The 22,565-nt window shown below is 48.0% G+C and overlaps 1 annotated feature.

Moving 5' to 3' along the window:
* Window positions 7,829-8,421: an enhancer, noted in NCBI's record as "H3K27ac-H3K4me1 hESC enhancer chr12:110695091-110695683 (GRCh37/hg19 assembly coordinates)". NCBI's record gives its function as "activates a minimal SCP1, AML or CMV promoter by ChIP-STARR-seq in primed H9 embryonic stem cells {active_cell/tissue: H9 hESC(primed)}" and the evidence as "EXISTENCE:reporter gene assay evidence [ECO:0000049][PMID:30033119]".

Raw genomic sequence — 22,565 nt, 5'->3', positions numbered from 1 at the left:
CATTTTGTTTTGTTTTACTCACTATTATGTTTTTTAAAATTTTTATTTATTTATTTATTTATTTATTTATTTATTTATTTATCTTTTTGAGACAGAGTCTTCTCTATCACCCATGAGCAATCTCTGTTCACTGCAACCTCTGCCCCTCAGGCTCAAGCAATCGCCTCAGCCTCCCGAGTAGCTGGGATTACAGGCATGCCCCACCACATCCGGCTAATTTTTGCATTTTTTTGTAGAGATGGGGCTTCTCCATGTTGCTCAGGCTGGTCTCGAACTCCTGAGCTCAAGTGATCTGCCTTCTTCGACCTCCCAGATTACTGGGATTACAGGCGTGAGCCACTGCGCCTGGCCTGGGGTTTTTTTTTTTTTTGTAGGTTTATTCATATAAAGCTAAAAATACAAGTGTAGATACATGTAACTCTAGTGACTTCCATTTTCTTGCTTTATAGTTACATATATATTTAAAATAAACAAGTAAAAGGACAGAGAAAAAGCTGAAATTCTCATTGTTTCCTTCCCTCTGCAGTCTGTCTTTTAACTAGTTTACAATGTTTCCCAGAGAAAATCAAAGATGAAATTTCACTTTATCTTTCTTCTCCAAAAGACTCAGCTTTGTTTTTTTTCCCCGTTTCCAAAATGGATAAAGCTTCTTTTATGGCTGTTAAATTTTATGCTACAGGTACCTGTAAATTGCCTGTCTGCTCTGCACTGTGGAGAATTTATCTTTACATGATAATCAGGTCCCAGGCTCTCTTTCCTACCATGAAGGCTGTTCCCATGTTGAAGACAGTGAAGGCTGGCATTGCCATGGGGTCTGGCACTGCAGGGATACTGGCTGATGACCATTTCTCAATTGTCAGTTTTTTTGGTTTTGTTTTGAAACAGGGTCTTGCTCTGTCACCCAGTCTGGAGTGCAGTGGCGTGATCATGGCTCACTGCAGCCTCGAACTCCGGGGCTCAAGCAATTGTTTCACCTCAGCCTCCTGAGTAGCTGGGACCACAGATGCACAGCACCATGCCCAGCTAAATTTTTAAAATATTTTGTAGAATGGCAGCGTTGTGGGGAGGGGGTCTCTCTATATTGCCCAGGCTGGTCTTGAACTCTTGCGCTCAAGTGATCCTCCCATCTTGGCCTCTCAAGGTGCTGGAATTACAGATTTGAGTCATCATGCCTGGCCTCAACTGCCAGACTTTTTTTTTTTTTTTGAGATGGAGTCTCACTGTGTCACCCAGGCTGGAGTGCAGTGGCGCGATCTCGGCTCACTGAAACCTCCACCTCCCGCGTTCAAGCGAGTCTCCTGCCTCAGCCTCCCAAGTAGCTGGGATTACAGGCGTGCAACACCACACCTGGCTAATTTTTGTGTTTTTAGTAGGGACGAGGTTTCATGTTGGCCAGGCTGGTCTTGAACTCCTGACCTCAGGTGATCTGCCCGCCTCGCCTTCCCAAAGCACTGAGATTACAGGCATGAGCCACAGCACCTGGCCAATTGTCAGACTTTTGATAGAGCTTTAATATTAAAAGAGAATTGAGTAAAACCTGCAGGTCAGCAGAAATTTTTCACTCAGCCACTCCTCTTCCCGAAACCCCATTTGGAGTATTTCTGTTACCTTAAAGATAGAATGGTATGAATGCCCAGACATTCATACTACCTTTCCTTTTTTTTTTTTTTTGAGACCGAGTCTCACTCTGACGCCCAGGATGGAGTGCCGTGGTGCAATCTCAGCTCACTGCAACCTCCGCCTCCCAGGTTCAAGCAATTCTCCTGCCTCAGCCTCCCAAGTAGCTGGGATTACAGGCACCGCCACCAAGCCCACCTAATTTTTGTATTTTTAGTAGAGACGGGGTTTCACCATGTTGGCCAGGCTGGTCTCGAACTCCTGACCTCAAGTGATCTGCCCGCCTCGGCCTCCCAAAGTGCTGGGATTACAGGCGTGAGCCACTGCAGCCGGTCAATTGTCAGACTTTTGATAGAGCTTTAATATTAAAAGAGAATTTAGTAAAACCTGCAGGTCAGCAGAAATTTTTCACTCAGCCACCCCTCTCCCAGATTCCCCATTTAAAATATTTCTGTTATCTTAAAGATAGAATGATGTGAGTGCCCAGACATCTACATATCACCTTTCCTTTTGGTTTTTGCTCTGAGCTACCTCAATCATTCTAAAGCTTTAAGTTTGCTTGGGAATTACTGTATAGGGCTGCGGTTCACACTAGATCATGTATGTTGTATTTTGTTGGCAATTTAAGGTACTTTCAAAGGTTGTTTGACTACAGTTAATTTTCACCTTACTCATATATGATGTAATTCCTTTGGAATAAGTTTTCAGTAAATACTAGTTACTAATTTTGTCATTATTATTGGAGAGTTGAAGTGCATAACTGATTTGCAAAAGTTCTGAAGAACAAAATCCGTTTGGGGTATCATGGAAAATGGCCAATATGTGTGAAGATGGTGCTTCGAGATTTTCAGATAATCTGTTCCAGGTGGACCAGGTGGACTGGTGAGGTTTGGCAGGGGAGCCTGCCGAGCCACGCATGTGGGGTACACCTGCACAACAAACAGGGTTCCACCCCAAGATTCATTACCGAGCCAGCCCTTGGCACATGTGTAATTCGATTCACCTCCTTTTTTCTTTTGTGGTCAAAAACGTAGCATAAAATTTACTATCTTAACCATGTTTAAGTGTACAGTAGTACAGTAGTGTTAACTATACGCACCTTGCGCAACTGATCTCTGGAACTTTTCCATCTTGCAAAATTGAAACTGTATATCCATTGAACAACTCCCCATTGCCCCCTCCCTTGGTTCCCTGGCAACCACCATACTACTTTGTTTCTAAGAGTCTGACTACTTTACATACCTTACATAAGTGGAATCATGCAGTATCTGTATTTGTTCTTTTGTGATTATCTTACTTCACTTAGCCAAATGTCCTTAAGGTTTATCCATGTTTTAGCAGATGACAGGATTTCTTTCTTTTAGGATGAATAGTAATTTTTTTTTTTTGAGACCGAGTCTCAGTCTGTCGCTCAGGCTGGAGTGCAGTGGTGCAATTATAGCTCACTGCTGCCTTGACCTCCTAGGCTCAAGCGATCTTATCGAAGCCTCTCACCTCCTGGGCTCAAGCGATCTTCTTATCGAAGCCTCTCAAGTAGCTGGGACTAAAGGCATGCGCCATCATGCCCAGCTAATTTTTAAAAATTTTGTGTAGAGACAGGGTCTCACTATGTTACCCAGGCAGGTCTTGAATTCCTGGGCTCAAGCGATCCTCCTGCCTCGGCTTCCCAAAGTGCTGGGATTACAGATGTGAGCCACCTGTGCTTGGCCATTATTTTTCACTTCCTAAAATTGGGAAGCATTGCTACTTGTTATTTTCCTCCTCTTTCTTCCAAGGAGGGAGATGTAACTGTCAGAAGGAGTCTATCGACCTCATTCTGTCATTCTGTTCTTGAGGCCACTGAAGGGCATAAAACCGGCTCTTAGAGGCCCAAGTGCATGGAATCTAAACCTTTGGTGGAAACTTCTCAGTGCTCCTGCTCCTCAGGGTTACCTGCTCTAAGCATTTAATATCACTGAGCTTTAAAAGGGAAAGGCCCCAAGTCATGCAGGATTCAATTTCCAAGTCACAGAAGGATGAGTGCTTGCTCAGATCTTCCCTCTATGCCCCATGAAAGACCAGAAAGTTTCAGTCTTTTCTTTTTTCTTCTTTTTTGAGACAGGGCCTTGCTCTGTCACCTCAGGCTGGAGTGCTGTGGTACGATCTCGCTCATTGCAACCTCCACCTCCCAGGCTCAAGAGATACTCCCACCTCAGCCTCCCAAGTAAACAAAAAATATGAGAACCTAGCCAGGTGTGGTAGTGGACACCTGTGGTCCCAGCTACTCAGAAGGTTGAGGTGAGAGGATGGCTTGAGCCCAGGAGGTCAAGGCTGCAGTGAGCCGTGCACTCTAGCCTGGGCGACAGAGTGACACCCTGTCTCAAAAAAAGAAATAAAGAAACATGGTCAGGCTGGAACCTGTATCAATTATATCAATTAACTAACCTATCTTGAATTAGCCTTGGAAAAATGAGGTGTCATCCCTAAAGGGGGTTCATGATGAACCTAATTTTCCTCTCTGGAGCCTAAGGCTCTACCAAAAAGACACCCAGTTGGATAATTTGGGAATAGGGAAAGATAATAGCATCTGACTCCACAGGAAGGTAATGACAAATTTATTGGGTCTTTTTTTGTCCTTAATTTTCCCCCATTTTGGTTTATCGTGTACACAGCCTGCCAATTTTTTTTTTTTTTTTTTTGAGACGGAGTTTCGCTCTTGTTGCCCAGGCTGGAGTGCATTGGCGCTATCTCCGGCTCACCGCAACCTCCGCCTCCTGGGTTCAAGCAATTCTCCTGCCTCAGCCTCCCGAGCAGCTGGGATTACAGACATGTGCCACCACACCTGGCTAATTTTGTATTTTTAGTAGAGACAGGGTTTCTCCATGTTGGTCAGGGTGGTCTCGAACTCCCAACCTCAGGTGATCTGCCCACCTCGGCCTCCCATTGCACCTGGCTTTTTTTTTTTTTTTTTTTTTTTTTTTTGAGACTGTGTCTCACTCTGTCGTCCAGGCTGGAGTGCAGTGGCGCGATCTCGGCTCACTGCAAGCTCCACCTCCTGGGTTCACACCATTCTCCTGCCTCAGCCTCTCAAGTCGCTGGGACTACAGGCGCCCGCCACCGCACCCGGCTAATTTTTTTTTGTATTTTTAGTAGAGACGGGGTTTCACTGTGTTAGCCAGGATGGTCTTCATCTCCTGACCTCGTGATCCACCTGCCTCGGCCTCCTAAAGTGCTGGGATTATAGGCGTGAGCCACCGCGCCCGGTCTTAATTTTTTAAAATAGCTTTTATTATAGAAATCCTCAAACATAACAAAAGTGGAGAAAAATAGTATAATAAACCCTTATTTACTATGATCTGGCTTCAGCAGTTATGAGCATTTCTGCTGTCATCCCACATCATCCCTCATGACTGTAACTGGGCTTTCTAAGTTTGTTTCCCTGTGTGTCCTTGCCACATGATTTTGGCTGTATCCAAGTGTTATCTTTCTGTTATTTATACACCTATTTTATATATATATATATATATATATATATTTTTTTTTTTTTTTTTTTTTTTTTTTTTTTTGAGACTGGATCTTGCTCTGTTGCTCAGGCTGGAGTGCAGTGGTGCAATCATGGCTCACTGTAGCCTCTACCTCCTGGGCTCAAGCAATCCTCCCACCTCAGCCTCCCAAGTAGCTGGGACTACAGATGCACACCACCACACCTGGCTAATTTTTGCTAATTTTTCATAGAGACAGGGTCTTGCCAAGTTGTTCAGGCTGGTCTTGAACTCCTGGCCTCAAGTGATCCTCCTGCCTTGGCCTCCCAAAGTGCTGGGATTACAGGCATGAGCCACCTTGCCCTGTCCTAAGTAAGTATATTTTATTTATTTGTATATATTTTTTGAGACAGAGTCTTGCTCTGTCCCCAGGCTGGAATGCAATGGCATGATCTTGGCTCACTGCAACCTCCACCTCCCAGGTTCAAGCAATTCTCCTGCCTCAGCCTTCTGGGTAGCTGGGATTACAGGTGAGCACCACCACACCCAGCTAATTTTTGTATTTTTAGTAGAGACGAGGTTTCGACATGTTGGCCAGGCTGGTCTCGAATTCATGACCTCGGGTGATCCACCAGGCTCGGCCTCCCAAAGTATTGGGATTACAGGTGTGAGCCACCATGCCCGGCCATAAATATATTTTAAAAGGAAATATTTAATTATGAAAAAAGAAAACCAGGATTACTTGCCGTGTGTAGAAAATTGTGAAAATAAATAAATAAATGCATAAATACGGTGAAAATGTTCTTATTTATAAATACTGCCCAATGCTGGTGACTACCAGCTTCTCATTTTGCTAAAAAAGGGAGGTTATCTACAAGTTTAGAGATGTTAAAAAAGTCAAGCCAGCACCAAACTGGGACTTTCTCTCAGTTAATCAGAAGGGCTGAGAGAGGGTTTAAACAGGAGTTGTCTTTTCCTTTCTCAAATCAGTGTTATCTTAACACCAAGCTCCTGTATCTCCAACAGTCACCGAGTGTGCCATCTTCTCACAGACCTCTAGTAGCAGGATTTCACATTTTGGAAAACACTGTTGATCCCATTCTCGCTCTCCTCTGTCCTTTCTGATTGGTACTTGTGATGGTCGGTTTTGTGTGTCAACTTGGCTAAGCTATAGTCTCCAGTTATTCAATCAAATGCTACTCTAGTTGTTGCTGTGTAGGTATTTTGTAGATATGATTAACATTCATAATCAGTTGATGTTAGGCTGGGCACAGTGCCTCACACCTGTAATCCCAGCACTTTGGGAGGCCGAGGCAGGAAGATCGCTTGAGCCCAGGAGTTGGAGACCAACCTGAGCAACATGGTGAAACCCCATTTCTACAAAAAATACAAGAATTAGCCAGGTGTGGTGGTGCGCACCTGTAATCCCAGCTACTCAGGAGGCTGAGGTGGAAGGATCATTTGAGGCCAGGAGATTGAGGCTGCAGTGAGACATGATTGTGCCACTGCACTCCAGCCTAAGTGACAGGGCAAGACCTTGTCTAAAAAAAAATAATAAAAAGTTGACTTTAAGTTAATGATTTGAGATGTCCTGGGTGGGCCTGATTCAATCAGTTAAATGACTATAAGAACAAGGCTGAGGCTTCCCCAAAGAAGAAATTCCCCCTGTGAACGGCTGCTTCAGGTCCTGGCTGAGTTTCGAGTCTGCCCTTCCTAATGGCCTGCCCCAAGGATTTAGAATTTTCCTAGCCAGCCCCTACAATCACATAAGCCAATTCTTTGCAGTAAATCTCTTGCCACATAGCTCCATCTCCTACTGGTTCTGTTTCTCTGGTGAAAGCCCTGCCTGGTGGGTACCCTATGCACGTGTTCCGTAGCAGCTAGAACGATCTGGCAATTCCCAAATGCGCCAGCTGCCTTCCCACCTCTGTGGTGTTGCCTGTTTCTCACCCCCTCGAGGGAATATCCGCTTCTGCGAGGCCACCATTCATGTCTTACATCTTGCCTTCAAGGCTCACCTCAAGGGGTTGTCTCTGTGAAGCCTTCCTGGGGGCCTCGGGTCTGTTGTAGCCCACCTCTAAATTCAACAGCACCGTGGGTGCTCACTCACGTGGCCTGCAGCCCACGTTTATCTCGTTCTGACCCTGAAAGGGCTTCTACATCTCTGTTTCTCTAATCCTAGCTGCTTCTCTACCCGGCAAATGTCCTTGGATGCTTGTCTTTTTTTTTTTTTTTTTTTTGAGACGGAGTTTCACTCATGTTGCCCAGGCTGGAGTGCAATGGTGTAATCTCGGATCAGTGCAACCTCCACCTCCTGGGTTCAAGCAATTCTCCTGCCTCAACCTCCTGAGTAGCTGAGATTACAGGCATGTGCCACCACGCCCATCTAATTTTTGTATTTTTAGTAGAGATGGGGTTTCACCAAGTTGATCAGGCTGGTCTGGAACCCCTGACCTCGTGATCCACGCGCCTCAGCTTCCCAAAGTGCTCGGATTACAGGCGTGAGTCACCGCACCCGGCTGATGCTTTGAGGCCACTGAAGCTCTGTCAGCAAAAGTGGAGGGCCACCTTTAGCTTCCTGCTGCACCTCATCATTCCTGTCCCTTCAAATGGCCAACCTTCTCATGGAGTGGAACACCCACCCCACCTTGGGCTGGGACATCCCACAAGAATGGAAGGGGGCCTCTTGAAAGGGGACTCAGTAGAGGACAGAGTTGAAAACACGATCCTGCTGTAAGACACTCAGGAGTCATGTCCAGGGGCTGAGGAAAGGTTCTCCTGTCCATTCCTGAGGCTGGGCTTCCACCTTCTCCATTTGCCCAACCTGCAGGGAGGATTTGAAGTCCCCTCTGCCTCCACTCAGGGAAGACCTGATAGAACTGAATGTCCAGGCTGGGCGAGGTGGCTCATGCCTGTAATCCCAGCACTTTAGAAGGCTGAGGTGGGTGGATCACCTGAGGCCAGGAGTTCAAGACCCGCCTAGCCAACAATGTGAAACCTTGTGTCTACTAAAAATACAAAAATTAGCCAGGTGTGGTGCACGCCTGTAATCCCAGCTACTTGGGAGGCTGAGGGACGAGAATAGCTTGAACCCAAGAGGCGGAGGCTGCAGTGAGCTGAGATCACACCACTGCATTCCAGCCTGGGTGACAGAACTGAATGTCCAGTATGTGGGCCAAAGATCCAAGAGAAAGAAAAATCTTAAGTGGAGGAAGCAGGGAAACGGGAGCAAGTTTGGCCCTGGAGAGAGTCCCTAGAAGCGAGTTTGGCCCTGGAGAGAGTCCCTGGAGAGAAGCCTTACAGCTGGGGCCAGCAGTGAGGGTGCAGTGACTAACTGGCCAGCACCTGCTTCTCCTCAGCTCGGGGACTACACCTTCTGCCCTCTTGATGCTCCAGGCACACAAAGGTGATTGTGTAGCCTCCTAGAGATGAAAGTGCATTCCTCGCTGGCTCCAAGGACTCCAGGGCTCCTCAGTCAGGGGAGCCCAGTCAGAAGCTCAGCAGGGAAGGCCACGCCGCCTCTGCCACAAGCCTCACGGGAAAGCGAGTTTCTTCTTCTGGCCCCCGTCCCACTCTCACCTCCCTTGAGGAAAAAAGGAATGTAAGTGTCCTGAGAAGAGAAAGCAGAGGGCATGGGCCGGCTGGCTTGGTTTGGTACTTCCTGAATAAAACTGTACTATCTCCAGGACAGCTTGACAGTGCACATTTGAGCTTCCGTTTAAGGGAAATCTCAATCTCTGACCTTTCCTCTGAGATGGGGCAATTCTGCAAGAGCCACACAGTGTGGTTGCGGGTGAGAGGGAGGAAGGAGGGGCCACAGGGACACAGTCCTCATTAAGACTGAGGTTCTGCGGGAAATGCTGAATCTGAAAACATTCTTCCCCTCCATGATGCACCCTTAAAGTAGCTTCATCCAGACTGAAACTCAAGGCTGGGCATGGTGGCTCATCCCTGTAATCCCAGCACTTTGGGAGGCCGAGGTGGGTGGATCACCTGAGGTCAGGAGTTCAAGACCAGCCTGGCCAACATGGCAAAATCCCATCTCTAGTAAAAATACAAAAATTAGCTGGGTGTGGTGGTGAGCACCTGTAGTCCCAGCTACTCGGGAGGCTGAGGCAGGAGAATTGCTTGAACCTGGGAGGTGGAGGCTGCAGTGAGCCAAGATTATGCCACTGTACTCCAACCTGGGTGACAGGGCGAGACTCCATCTCAAAAGAAAAAAAAACAAAGAAACTAAAAATCAACACACACACACACACACACACACACACACACACATAAGTGCTAACAGGAATGATGACACTGCTCTCTGTGATAATTATTCATGGATTTACAACTGCCTAATAGATGCATGAAAGAAAAATTCAACCTCACTAGTAATCAAGAAAATGTAAATCAACTCAAAGGGATAGTATTCCCACCTATCAAACGGAATTGTTTTTAAAGAGGGCCTTCTCTTCCGCCTGCTGGTGGGATTGCATGCTGGCTTTCTGGAAAGTCACTTGATAACACGTAATGATACTTTAAAAAGAATGACTCAGTAATTTTGCTATAGGAATGATTCTAAAGAAATCACAAGCCGGGCGTGGTGGCTCATGCCTGTAATCCCAGCATTTTGGGAGGCCGAGGCGGGTGGATCACCTGAGGTCGGGAGTTCGAGACCAGCCTGACCAACATGGAGAAACTCCATCTCTACTAAAAATACAAAATTAGCTGGGTGTGGTGGCGCATGCCTGTAATCCCAGCTACTTGGGAGGCTGAGGCAGGAGAATCACTTGAACCCGGGAGGCGGAGGTTGCTGTGAGCCGAGATTGTGCCATTGCACTCCAGCCTGGGCAGCAAGAAGGAAACTCAGTCTCAAAAAAAAAAAAAAAAAGATAAGAGATAAGAGATGTGAACAAAGATGTTTTATGCAAAGATGCTCATTACTTCATGATCATAGCAAAAGAAAAAAACCTTAAATGTCCAACAACTGTAACTGTTCATCACAGTAAGTCCATACTGGAGAATATTACGGAGTCATTAAAAATGGCCATTGGGGCTGGCCAGGCACAGTGGTTCATGCCTATAATCCCAGCATTTTGGGAGGCCAAGGTGGGAGGATTGCTTGAACCCAGGAGTTTGAGACTAGTCTAGGCAACATGGTGAGACTCTGTTTCTACAAAAAAAATTAAATTTCCGAGCATGGTAGCACACATCTGTAGTCCCAGCCACTCAGGAGGCTAAGAGTGAGAGGATTGTTTGAGCCCAGGAGCTTGAGGCTGCAGTGAGCCGTGACTGCACCACTGCACTTTAGCCTGGGCAGAGCGAGACATTGTCTCAAAAAAAAAAAAAAAAAAAAGTCATTGGGCCAGGTGTGCTGGCTCACACCTGTAATCTCAGCACTTGAGAGACTGAGGCGGGAGATCACTTGAAGCCAGGAGATCTACCTTAGAGGGTTGCTGTGAGAATCACATGTGATAATCTATGTAAACTGCTTAGCAGAGAGTTCCTGGTTTACTATACAACTAGGTAAGGCCGGGCGTGGTGGTTCATGCCTGTAATCCTAGCACTTTGGGAGGCTGAGGTGGGCAGATTGCTTGAGGCCAGGAGTTCAATACCACCCTGGGCAACATGGCAAAACCCTGTCTCTGCAAAAAAATACAAAAATTATCTGGGTGTAGTGGTGTGTGTCTGTGGTCCCAGCTACTCGGGAGGCTGAGGCAGGAGGATCACTTGAACCCAGGAGGTTGAGGCTCCAATGAGCTGTGACCATGCCACTACACTTGACCCTGTCTCAAAACCAAAAAAAAAAAAGACTAGATAAATATGAGCAATGATTATTTAATAATGGACATGTGGCCGGGCATGGTGACTCACGCCTGTAATCCCGGCACTTTGGGAAGCCAAGGCAGGTGGATCACCTGAGGTCAGCAGTTCGACACCAGTCTGGCCAACATGGTGAAACCGTCTCTACTAAAAAATATAAAAATTAGCTGGGCGTGGTGGTGGATGCCTGTAATCCTAGCTACTTGGGAGGCTGAGGCAGGAGAATCACTTGAACCTGGGAGGCGGAGGTTGCAGTGACCTGAGATTGCGCCAGTGCACTCTAGTTGGGCGACAAGAGCGAAACTCCATCTCAAAAGAAAAAAAAAGAAAGAAAGAAAAGGACATGTATAATTTTTTATAATGAAAAAAATTCCAGTTCATGCTTTCTTTTTTTTTTTTTTTTTTTTTTTTTGAGACAGAGTCTCACTCAGTCACCCAGGCCGGAGTGCAGTGGCATGATCTCGGCTCACTGCAACCTCCACCTCCCCAGTTCAAGTGATTCTTGTGCCTCAGCCTCCCAAGTAGGTGGAATTAAAGGCATGTGCCACCACACCCAGGTAATTTTTTTTTTTGAGACAGAGTCTCATTTTGTTGCCCAGGCTGGAGTGCAGTGCCACAGTCTTGGCTCACTGCAACTCTGCCTCTTAGGTATAAGCAATTCTCCTGCCTCAGCCTACCAAGTAGCTGGAACTACAGGCACATGCCACCATGCCTGGCTAATTTTTTTGGTTTTTTTTTGAGACGAGTCTCGCTCTGTCACCCAGGCTGGAGTGCGGTGGCGCAATCTCAGCTCACTGCAAGCTCCGCCTCCCGGGTTCATGCCATTCTCCTGCCTCAGCCTCCTGAGTAGCTGGAACTACAGGCGCCTGCCACCACGCCTGGCTAATTTTTTGTATTTTTAGTAGAGATGGGGTTTCGCTATGTTGTCCAGGCTGGTCTTGAACTCCTGACCTCAGGTGATCCGCCCGCCTTGGCCTCCCAAAGTGCTGGGATTACAAAGATGAGCTACTGTGCCCAGCCCTTGTAATTCATGCGATTTTAAAATAACATTTCAGAAGAATTTTTGATGAACTGGAACACAAAAATAATAAATAGAAAAGCAAGATACAAACAATATGTGTGCATATAACCCCATCTTCCAACCTACACACATATGCATAAAGATATGTGTGCATTTCAAAAACAAAGAGATTGTTTTGCCCCAAATACTACCAGTAGTTAAACTGTAGATTATGAATGATTCTTCTCCTTTATTCTTTAATGTATTTTCAAAGATTTCTAAAATAAGCACTCTTCTGGTTTTTCAAAAGTGAAACTTTAAAAAAGATCTAGAATCTGCTGTCGGGAGAACACACAGAGGGAAACTGTGACCTCCAGACGTCAGCAGCCCGGCTGCTGGTGTCATGCTCCACAGAAAGCCGAGTCACCCCTTTGGGGCCAGGGTGTCCTGTGAAATATATAGACCAGGGTCAGGCCAGCTCACGAGGCCCAGTGGCCTCGGCAGACCTTTCCGGGGAGTGGGCACTCTGCCACCCCGGCCCATATCTTAATGAGATAATGTATGTGAAAGCACTTTGCCAAAGAGAAAACTCTATCCAGATAGGTGATTGCACGGCTTATTCTGGAGAAAGTAGGCTCTCAGAGCACATTCTATTAAGGAATTTCACACTCTATCTCCTCCTCCAAACTCTTCTCTTTTTCTCCCTCCCCTGAACAGAAATATATTTAGCAACCCTATCTAAATCCTCTTCTTTCCCTTAATTTGATTAAGGAGGAAGGGGAACAAGGGATGGAATGGGGGGTGAGGGGAGCGGGGTGGCTGAGCTGCCGGGAAAGATTAGAGGAGCTGCATGTGTATCTCCGGCCGAGCGATGGCTGAGTGTGGACAGGACGAGGGCCTCCTGGTACTTAGTGCAGAGGCACAGAGGACAGAGGGAGGGGACACAGTCAATCACGGAACACGCTTCTCTGGGAGAATGAGGACCAAATCAGGGAGGGTCCAGCTTCTGGGACTAACTTGGGGAATGGGAGCCATTTCCTATGGGAGGCACTGGATACTGAGTCTCCTCTGCTTTCCTGGCGCCTTGGGTCCTCAGAGCCTCAACAAGTGCCAGGAGGGCTGAGCGCGGTGGCTCACGCCTGTAATCCCAGCACTTTGGGAGGCCGAGGCAGGCAGATCACGAGGTCAGAAGATTGAGACCATCCTGGCTAACATGGTGAAACTCCGTCTCCACTAAAAATACAAAAAATTAGCCGGGCGTGGTGGCCGACGCCTGTAGTCCCAGCTACTCGGGAGGCTGAGGCAGGAGAATGGCGTGAACCCGGGAGGTGGAGCTTGCAGTGAGCCCAGATCCCACCACTGCACTCCAGCCTGGGTGACAGAGCAAGACTCTGTCTCAAAAAAAAAAAAAAAAAAAAAAAAAATCCCAGGAGGCTGCATGTGCTGAGCTCTTGCTATGTGTTTGGTACTTTCACATATTCACATAGATCAGTGAATGTATTCTTTCTTTTCTTTTTTCTTTTTTTTTTTTTGAGACAGGGTCTCACTCTGTTGCCCAGGCTGTAGTGTCACAATCACCGCTCAGCCTCCCAAGTAGCTGGGACCATAGGTACACACCATCACACTCAACTAATTTTTTTTTTTTTTTTAGTAGGGATGAGGTCTTGCTATGTTGCCCAGACTGGTTTTGAACTCCTGGACTCAAGCCCACCTTGGCTGCCCAAAGTGCTGAAATTACAGGTGTAGGCCACCACACTCGGCCGGAATTTATTCTTTTTTTTTTTTTTTTTTTGAGACAGAGTCTTGCTCTGTTGCTGAGGCTGGAGTGCAGAGGCACAATCTCGGCTCACTGCAACCCTCTGCCTCCTGGGTTCAAGCGATCCTCCTGCCTCAGCCTCCCGAGTAGCTGGGACTACAGGCACTCACTACCATGCCCAGCTAATTTTTGTACTTTTTTAGAGATGGGGTTTCACCATGTTGCCTAGGCTGCTCTCAAACTCCTGGGCTCAAGCGATCCCCCGCCTCAGCTCCTCAAAGTACTGGGACTACAGGTATGAGCCAATGCGCTCGGCCTGAATTTCTTCTTTTTTGTTTGTTTGTTTTGTTTTGTTTTGAGACAGGGTCTCGCTCTGTCACCCAGGCACTTTGGCTGGCCTGAGTTTATTCTTATGAAGTAATTTGTCTTTACCCACGAAGCTGATGCTGAGAGATTGTTTTGCCCAAAAGAATACAGTTGTTAATGTGTGGGGAAAACAGGATTGCAGTCCAGTTCTGCCTGATTCCACTGCTCTCCCTGGCAAATATTATCCTCCAGAGAAAATAACAGCAGCCAACGCTGACTTAGCCCTACTCGCCAGGCACTGCTATGTGCCTTAAAATATGGTATCTCATTAAATCCTCACAGCACCCCTATGAGGTAGATACTATTATTTTTACGTTTTTCAGATGGAGTCTCGCTCTGTTGCCCAGACTGGAGTGTAATGGCGCGATCTCGGCTCACTGCAACCTCTGCCTCCCGGGTTCAAGTGATTCTCCTGCCTCAGCCTCCAGAGTAGCTGGGATTAAAGGTGCGGGCCACCATGCCCAGCTAATTTTTGTATTTTTAGTAGAGACAGGGTTTCACCATGTTGGTCAGCCTGGTCTCGAACTCCTGACCTCGTGATCCAACCACCTCGGCCTCCCAAAGTGCTGGGATTACAGGCATAAGCCACCGCCCCCAGGCGAGGTAGATACTATTAATAACCCCATTTTACAGATGAGGAGCCTGAGGCATACAGTAAGCCATTTACATTACAGAGCTGGGAAATGGCAAGAGTAGGGACTTGGAGAGCCTGTGAGAGTGGAGAAATGTTGGGTATGAGGCATGCAAAATGAGCAGGCCCCTCTGTTTTATGTGTGTCTCTTCTGATGGTCTGGTTGCTCCGCAAGGACAGGGACCTTGTCTTGTTTATCCTGTATTGCCAACCCGAGCACAATGCCTGGAACAGAAGGAATGTTTGCTGCAAGAACTAGTGGTACCTGATAAACTTGGCTAAGCAATTGTCTCCACTGGGGGCCAACTTGGTGAGGATTAAGTGAGATTTATTTGTCTAGGGATTTCCAAGTCTAAAATGTCATGCTACTGGGCTTTGGAAAAGGCTCCATTGGCACTGGGGATCCCTGCAGGAGGCTTCAAAGGTGACCAGGACCTTGACAATGGGCAGGCCCAGGGAGATGCAGGGAGACGGCTCCAGCTCCCCTTGTGGGGTTGGATTCAGACCAAGGTGACAATGGGCGGGGGGGATCTGGCACACACTCCCCACTGTCCCCTTCCACAGGGACATCTCCAAACTCCAGGGGATAAAACAGTATAGGAGATGGAGGGAGTGAGCAGGTGGGTAGGAAGTGTGCCGCCCAGGCAGCTCATAGAGACAGGAGAGAGGGAAGGTGGGAGATTGGTGTTTGAATTAACAGGAACTCTAAGACTTTTCTAGAAGTAGATTTGAAAGAATAAAGGGCAGGAATTTGTTTTCTTTTAGAAAAGAGGACTCCTCCAGGAAGGGTCGTCCAGCTTCAGCAAAAGTCTCTCATTGACTAATAAGCCCCTCACTGCCTTGTAGTCTCCTATGCCTCAGGGTAAGGATTCAAGCTTCTCTCCCTTTTATACCCGGTGAGGAAGGCTACCAAGGGGCAGAGAACAGAAACAGCCACCAAGTTCCTGGGCCAAGTCCAGGGCTTCCTGGACTGTATTCAGAGAGCTGTGGCTTTTCTCTACCACTTGCAACAGCTCTTGGTGTCTTTATGTGAGCTGCTTATTAACCAGAGGATATCAGGACACTGGGAGGGCAGAGCTTGTGCTGGTTGCCAGTGAGAGTAATTCAGAAACACAGAGTGGGGCAGAGCTGATGTGTGCAGCCGATGTGACGGACAGAGGTGCCTGGCGGGGTGGAACAGGCTCTGGGCACCGTGCAGGAGCAGCATACTGGAGGGGCCTGTGGCCTATGGGGATGGCCAGGAAAGGCAGGGTCCCCTACCAACACTGCAGGCCACCCCCAGGACGAAGGCATGGCGAAGGGCACTGATGGCAACTGGAGGCCACCTGTTGGAATGGGACATGGCACTGGACCGACACTCCCTTCTCACAGTCACACATGGAGGGAGCCGTTTCCACCTTATGGAAACTCCTCTATCATCCTCCTTTTCCAAAGAGACTGCTTTTCCAGAAAAGGCCCTGAGTAAAAGATTCAAATCCCAGACATCCTCTTCCCTCTCTTCCATAAGCTGCTGATGATAGTCCCCGTCTACAGAGTCAGTGTTGATGGGCTTCACCTGCCAGCTGACCCCTCAGGGTCAAACCAAGGAAGCAGAACACCCATGGGCCCTGAGATGGTTCCTGACACCAGGCCACAGAGCAGCTTCCTGCTGTGTCTAAAGAAACACGGATTAGCCATGCTTTGGCCGGGCTGCAGTGCTATGTGTCTTAGGTTTCAAGCTGGTACCAGCTGCACTGAGGGGAAATGGTTGGGGAAGTTCTCCCGTTTGGCTTCTTTCCACATGGAGGACGGCAAAAGGAAGAGGGAGCTTAGAGCTGCCATGCTGGTACTGATGCCTTAAAAATGATGATATAAACACAGCCACAGGAGTCAGCCTGTGAGTCCCTGATGGGGACCAGAGGAGAAATGTCCTGACTTACCCTTCAGCCCACACTCTGCAAACAGAAGTGACCCAGCCCTCATCTATCACCTCAAAAGCTAAACAACTTCCTCAGACAGCCCCATGGAATATAAATCAGGAGGGCCCTAGCTTCTAAGAAACCAGTACACAACTACAGCCCTCAGAAATACTCATCCTCATCTTCTTTCTTCCTCTCCTTTCAGAATAGGGTGCTAGCAAGTCTTATCTGCAGATGAGGCCAGGCAAGGTGGCTCATGTTTGTAGTCCCAGCACTTTGGGAGGCTGAGGTGGGTGGATCACTTGAGGCCAGGAGTTTGAGACCAGCCTGGTCAACATGGTGAAACCCTGTCTCCACTAAAACTACAAAAATTAGCCAGGCATGGTGGTGCACGCCTGTAATCGCAGCTACTCAGGAGGCTGAGCAAGGAGAATCGCTTGAACCTGGGAGGTGGAGTTTGTAGCGAGCTGAGATTGTGCCACTGCCCTCCAGCCTGGGCAACAGAGTGAGATTCCATCTCAAATGAATAAACAAACAAACAAACAAAATAACTGCAGATGAAGTAGGAGGTCACCTTAAGCATGTTACTCAAATTCTCTGAGCATGGGTCCTCATCTGTATCTATCTCATGGGTTTGAGGTGGGAGGTAAATGAGATCATTCATTCAGTTCTTAGTATAGTACTACCTTGATAAATATCATCATTTCAGCAGCTGAAGGCCATTCTCAGGTATAAAGAAGGAAAAACAACACTTCTATACTAATCCCAAACAAGAAGGCTATATGGGCCAGGGCTTCAGTGATTCATGATGTCCAAGCCTTCTTGCTCCTGCTCTCTCTCACGCCAAGTCTGTGCCAGACCTGGTTGCACTTGGCAACCTCAGCGCCTCCAACTTGTTTGAATTCTCACAGAGAATCCCAATGGGTACTCCGACCTGCTGGCGCAGAGACAAATTCAAACACACTGGGGTGGCAGTGAAATGTAGTATAAGAAATAGTCACAAGGAATGTTCAAGCTCTCAGAATGCCTGCAGAGCTGGGGTTTACACAGAGGGCCCCACTTTTCCAGACAGGCAGGGTAGCGAGCTTACAAATTATTTCCTTTCATGCATACTTTCACGATAGCATCATAACACATGCAATAAACACGTTTGGCTCCCTACTGAACAGGTACAGACACGACAGCTTTTCTGTTTTAAAGCTCCTGAATGCCAAAGCCTTCTCCGCTGCTCTGATGCCCCAAACTTCCCTGCCTGGGAATTGGATCTGGGGTAATGAGTGACCCAGCAGGCAGAGATGACAGATTCCTGCCTAATGTAGCAATGCTGGGACAACCTGGAGTATCTGGTGTGGCGGGCAGGCACAGGCAGGATGGGAGAGGCAGCCGTGAGTACACCAACCTTTGTCCCTGTTTGCTCTGGGAGAGGGCAGGCCCTGCCAATGCTGCTCTCCTCTCCTGGTGCCTCTGCCTGGGGCTCTTGGCTAGTCAAACCTCCCCGGGGACCTGAGACGACCTGACCCTGGTGGGTGGCAAGCCGAGACCTCTTCAGGCAGTCAAAGGGTGCTCTGGCACCTCTGACATGACACAGCAGGTGTGGGGCTTGGAGGCCTGCGTGCTCCTGCCCCCTGAGGAAGCCTCTTTCCTTCTGGCTCCTTCCCAGCTGAAAGCTTATCATTAACTAGCCGCCCAGAAAATGATGACCTACTCCAGGGCACTCCTTGGTTCAATCCACTACAGGGTCCGAGGGAAACACAGAATGACAGTGCAGAGCCTGAGCTGGGCAGTGTTGCGTGCCTTCCTCTTGCCAGCCTTTGTCCTCTGGGGCAGGGGAACACTCCTTTTTTAGCCTTGCTTACTGCCATATAAGTGGGTGTCTTGAGGAACCTGTGTGTTCTTTCTTCTGGCAAGGCTGCCCAGTTCTCTGGTTCCCCAGGTTAGGTACAAACAGGGTGACAGAGATACACGTCTGGTGGGGAGGTGGGGACACTCTGGCTCTTGCGTGAGAAATCCTCCTGCTTGCTCTCTCTCTCTCTCTCTTTTTTTCCTGGATGACACTGCTGGGGCTTGAAGCAGGTTGATCCTGAAAAGCAACTTTTCTTGAGAAAAGTCTGAGGGTTTTCTCTTTTCCTAGGAAGCTAGGCCCTGGCCCCCTGGCCCCTTCACCTTATGGAGGGCACTCCCTCTGCCAGGGCCCTCCCAGCTGGCAGAAGCGCTTACAAAGGTCAGAGAAAAGCATCCTTCCCTTTCACAAATAAACAAACCCAATCCATGTGCTGGAGGACTTAGAGTATATTAATAGCCAGATATTTTGTTTTCCTATTCTGGTGCTTATCCCCTTCCACTAGGATGAAAGATAAGAGAACACAAAATGTTCTCCATCAGCTACCCTTCTCCCCTCCCCCAGGGAGAGGCAAGCCAGGGGAGTGCGCTCTTCTGTTTAAAGCCATTCCTGATGGAGGAACCCTGAGAAAATAGACTTAAAAGTTTATATTCAGTCTCTCTTGGCTACTGTTGCTGCTCAGCAAAGAAACTCTATATTGTTTAAACCCTCCAGGCGAACGGGTTGCAAGGCAACCTTCAAACAATAGAAAATACCCCAAACTAAAAATAAAGGCATTAAGAGATGGAAAGCATGGTGGTGCTTTGGTGAAGTGATTCCAGAATTGGGGCAAGGGAGAAGGTCGTTGATCAGGCTGCTTGTGTGTGACATCAGCCCGTTTGCCTGCTCTCATCCTTATCAATTGAGTTTCTTATAATCCAGACATATGGGGTCCCGCTTCTTTTTATTTCTGGACTCTCAGTCCTCTCACTGGTCATCAACTGCTTTGGGCGGGAGGGTGTCAAAGGCCTGTAAGGTTGGGTGCCTCCTGTCCTCAGGAAACTTCCTAATCAATGCACTTATCCCACTGGCTCCCAGCTGACAAGGAACAGCACTTCCATTCCTGAGAAATCCTTAGAAACCCAAGGACAGACAGGGCTGGGGCCCAACTTAATCATAAGGTTCTTACAGGAAGAAGGCAGGAGGGTCAGAGTTGGGGAGGACACGTGAGGACAGAAACAGGCTGGAGCGACGGGCTTTGAAGACGAGGAAGAGGCCACAAGCCAAGGAATATGGGCAGCCCCTAGAAGCTGGGAAAGAAAAGGAAATGGCTTCTCCTCTAGAGCCTCCAGAAGGAACACGGCCAAGCCAGCACCTTGATTTTAGCCTTGTGAGACCCACTTTGCACTTCTGGCCTCCAGAAATGGAAGATCATGCATTCATGTTGTTTTAAGCTACTGGATTTGTGGTGATTTGTTACAACAGGAGATTAATACAATCATGAAAAGGAGAACCCGAGGAACTTTCATAAGGACAAGGAGTTGACAGTGAGTTCCTGGGCACTGCAGGCAGGTGACTGGGAAGCCTGGTGCTGCCCTGGCCCTGCCCTCAGTGACTGCTGCTCTCTGGCTGTGTGCTCTTTGCCACAGATGGAGGCCAGCAGGGGGCACTGAGCCAGCAGGGCTGCCTTTAAACAATCAAACACACATCAATACAAAGGCTGGGGCTTTGCCCACGGAGAGGGCAGGCTGATGGGTGTATTATCCAATAAGCAGACCTGAGCAGCGGGGACGTTTTCACCCATGACCCTTGGCCCACCCCAATCAGTGTCACTCAAAGAGAGATCAGACTGGAAGGGGAAACTGGAAGAAAGAAAAATACATCACCTCCACCCCCTACTCCAGGTTGCTGTCCAGCAATTACTGAAGATTCCCTTGGACTTCTCTGGAAGGAGACATGTAAGAGACTTCAAGGCAGGTTGTGAGCAAGTTTGCCTTCTCTCTGTCTATTCTCTGATTAAATGTCTTCTAAGGACATTTTCTTCTCTGGTATAAGAGAGCCTAGGAAATCCTACCTCAAAAAAAAAAAAAAAAGGTGAAGACCAATAATTTACTCTGTTCTCATGACATTTCTAGGAGACAAGAACCATCAGTCCCATTATATAATTTGGGACCCTGAATTACAGAGAGGGCAAGCAACATGGACATGGCCACACAGCCAACCAGAGCGATTCACTCAAAGCAAAACGCAGCTCTCCCGGCGCCTGCACTGGTACTGCCCTCTGTGTGCTCACGCTTAGTCTCAGGCTCTGGCTAACCGGGTCAGTAGGGCGTGGCCTCTGGGTAGGTGGTCCTAGTGGAATGCAGAGATAGAAAACCATTAAACCTGTCATCACAGGGCAAGCTACTGACGCCTCAGTGGGAAGATTTTCCAGACCAGAGCTCTGAATTGCTCTGGGGTGTGTGTGTCAGTTTGGAAGGTAATCAGGGGAGGAGGGAAGGTCCTAAATAACAGCCAAGTCAAGGTATTTGCACTCTACTTTGCATAAATAAACCCACAAAGAGCTTTCATTTTTTTCTAGCATCAATACAAATCTTTTTCTAGCTTTTTTCTTATTCATCTGCCCTGTTTCTCCCTCCCTTTATCATTCTTCTGAGACCGCCTGGAATCTACCTTTAGGAGCAAAGCTAAAAGATTCTCCAAACTCACTGCCAGCGGATTGAAGTGGCTTATGCCGAACAGCTGCTGAACCTTCAGGACCAGCTCTATGAGGGCCCACGGCTCGGCATGAACGCCAGCAGCTCCACACACTGTGGGCGATCTCCACTGCCCTTTCACGCAGAGAGACTTCTGCAGAGCCACCCTCATTTCTTTCTTTCTTTTTTTTTTTGAGACAGAGATTCTCTCTGTTGCCCAGGCCAGAGTGCAGAGGCGTGATCGCGGCTCACTGCAACCTCTGCCTCCTGGGTTCCAGCGATTCTCCTGCCTCAGCCTCCCAAGTAGCTGGGACTACAGGCGTGTGCCACCATACCTGGTTGATTTTGTATTTTTAGTAGAGATGGGGTTTCTTTCTTTTTTTTTTTTTTGAAACGGAGTCTCACTCTGTTGCCCAGGCTGGAGTGCAGTGGTGTGATCTTGACTCACCACAACCTCTGCCTCCCGGTTTCAAGTGATTCTCCTGCCTCAGCCTCCCGAGTAGCTGGGATTACAGGTGTGCACCACCGCACCTGGCTAATTTTTGTATTTTTAGTAGAGACAGAGTTTCGCCATGTTGGCCAGGCTGGTTTCAAACTCTTGATCTCAGGTGATCCACCCGCCTCGGCCTCCCAAAGTGCTGGGATTATATGCGTGAGCCACTGCGCCTGGCCAGATGGGGTTTCACCATGTTGGCCAGGCTGGTCTTTAACTCCTGACCTCAAGTGATCCACCCTCCTCGGCCTCCTAAAGTGCTGGGATTAGAGGTGTGAGCCACCATGTCCAGCCAACCTTCATTTCTTGCCGCCCAAATTTTGTGACTCTCAAAGGCTATGAAAGGATGCCTCTGTTTTCCTTAAGATATAAAGAGAGGGAAATGGAGTGATTTGGTTTCAAATGATATTGTCAGGTCTTAAGTATTTTAAAAGCATAACAAGCCTGGTTAACATAGTGGGGCCCCATCTCTACAAAAAATTTAAAAAATGAGCTGGGCATGGTGGCGTGTCCCTGTAGTCCCGGCTACTCAGGAGGCTGTGGTGGAAGGATCACTTGAACCCAGGAGTTTGAGGCTGCAGAGAGCCATGATCACGCCACTGAACTCCAGCCTGGATTACAGAGCGAGACCCTGTTTCAAAAAAGAAAAGTGTGTAGCTGAGGCGACTGTGAGCTTTCAACCACTGGGGACCTTCTGCCCATCCTACATGATAACTGTTGCTCTTGCATCACCACAGCCAGCGCACCTCCTCTACTGTGGGCAATCTGAGAAAACTGCACAACACTCAACTGTCCTCTAATTAGACTAAAGAATGAGTATCAACAAATGGGGAAATGGTCTGCAAGATACTGACACAAGGAGAAACCCCCCGTACCCAAGAATTTGGCAGTACTTATGTAGCATTACACAGACAAGAACAGAGACACAGTCTCCTGGCCAGTTAGCTGGCCACACAGAACTGTACTTACACAGGTAGAAGTCAAGATACCCTTAGAGTCTGCAGCTGCTTTCCAGGCTCC

This window comes from Homo sapiens, chromosome 12 (assembly GCF_000001405.40).
Source record: "Homo sapiens chromosome 12, GRCh38.p14 Primary Assembly".
NCBI lineage: Eukaryota > Metazoa > Chordata > Mammalia > Primates > Hominidae > Homo > Homo sapiens.
Note: the sequence above shows the minus strand (reverse complement) of the source record. Positions and strands in the feature narration are given on the sequence as shown.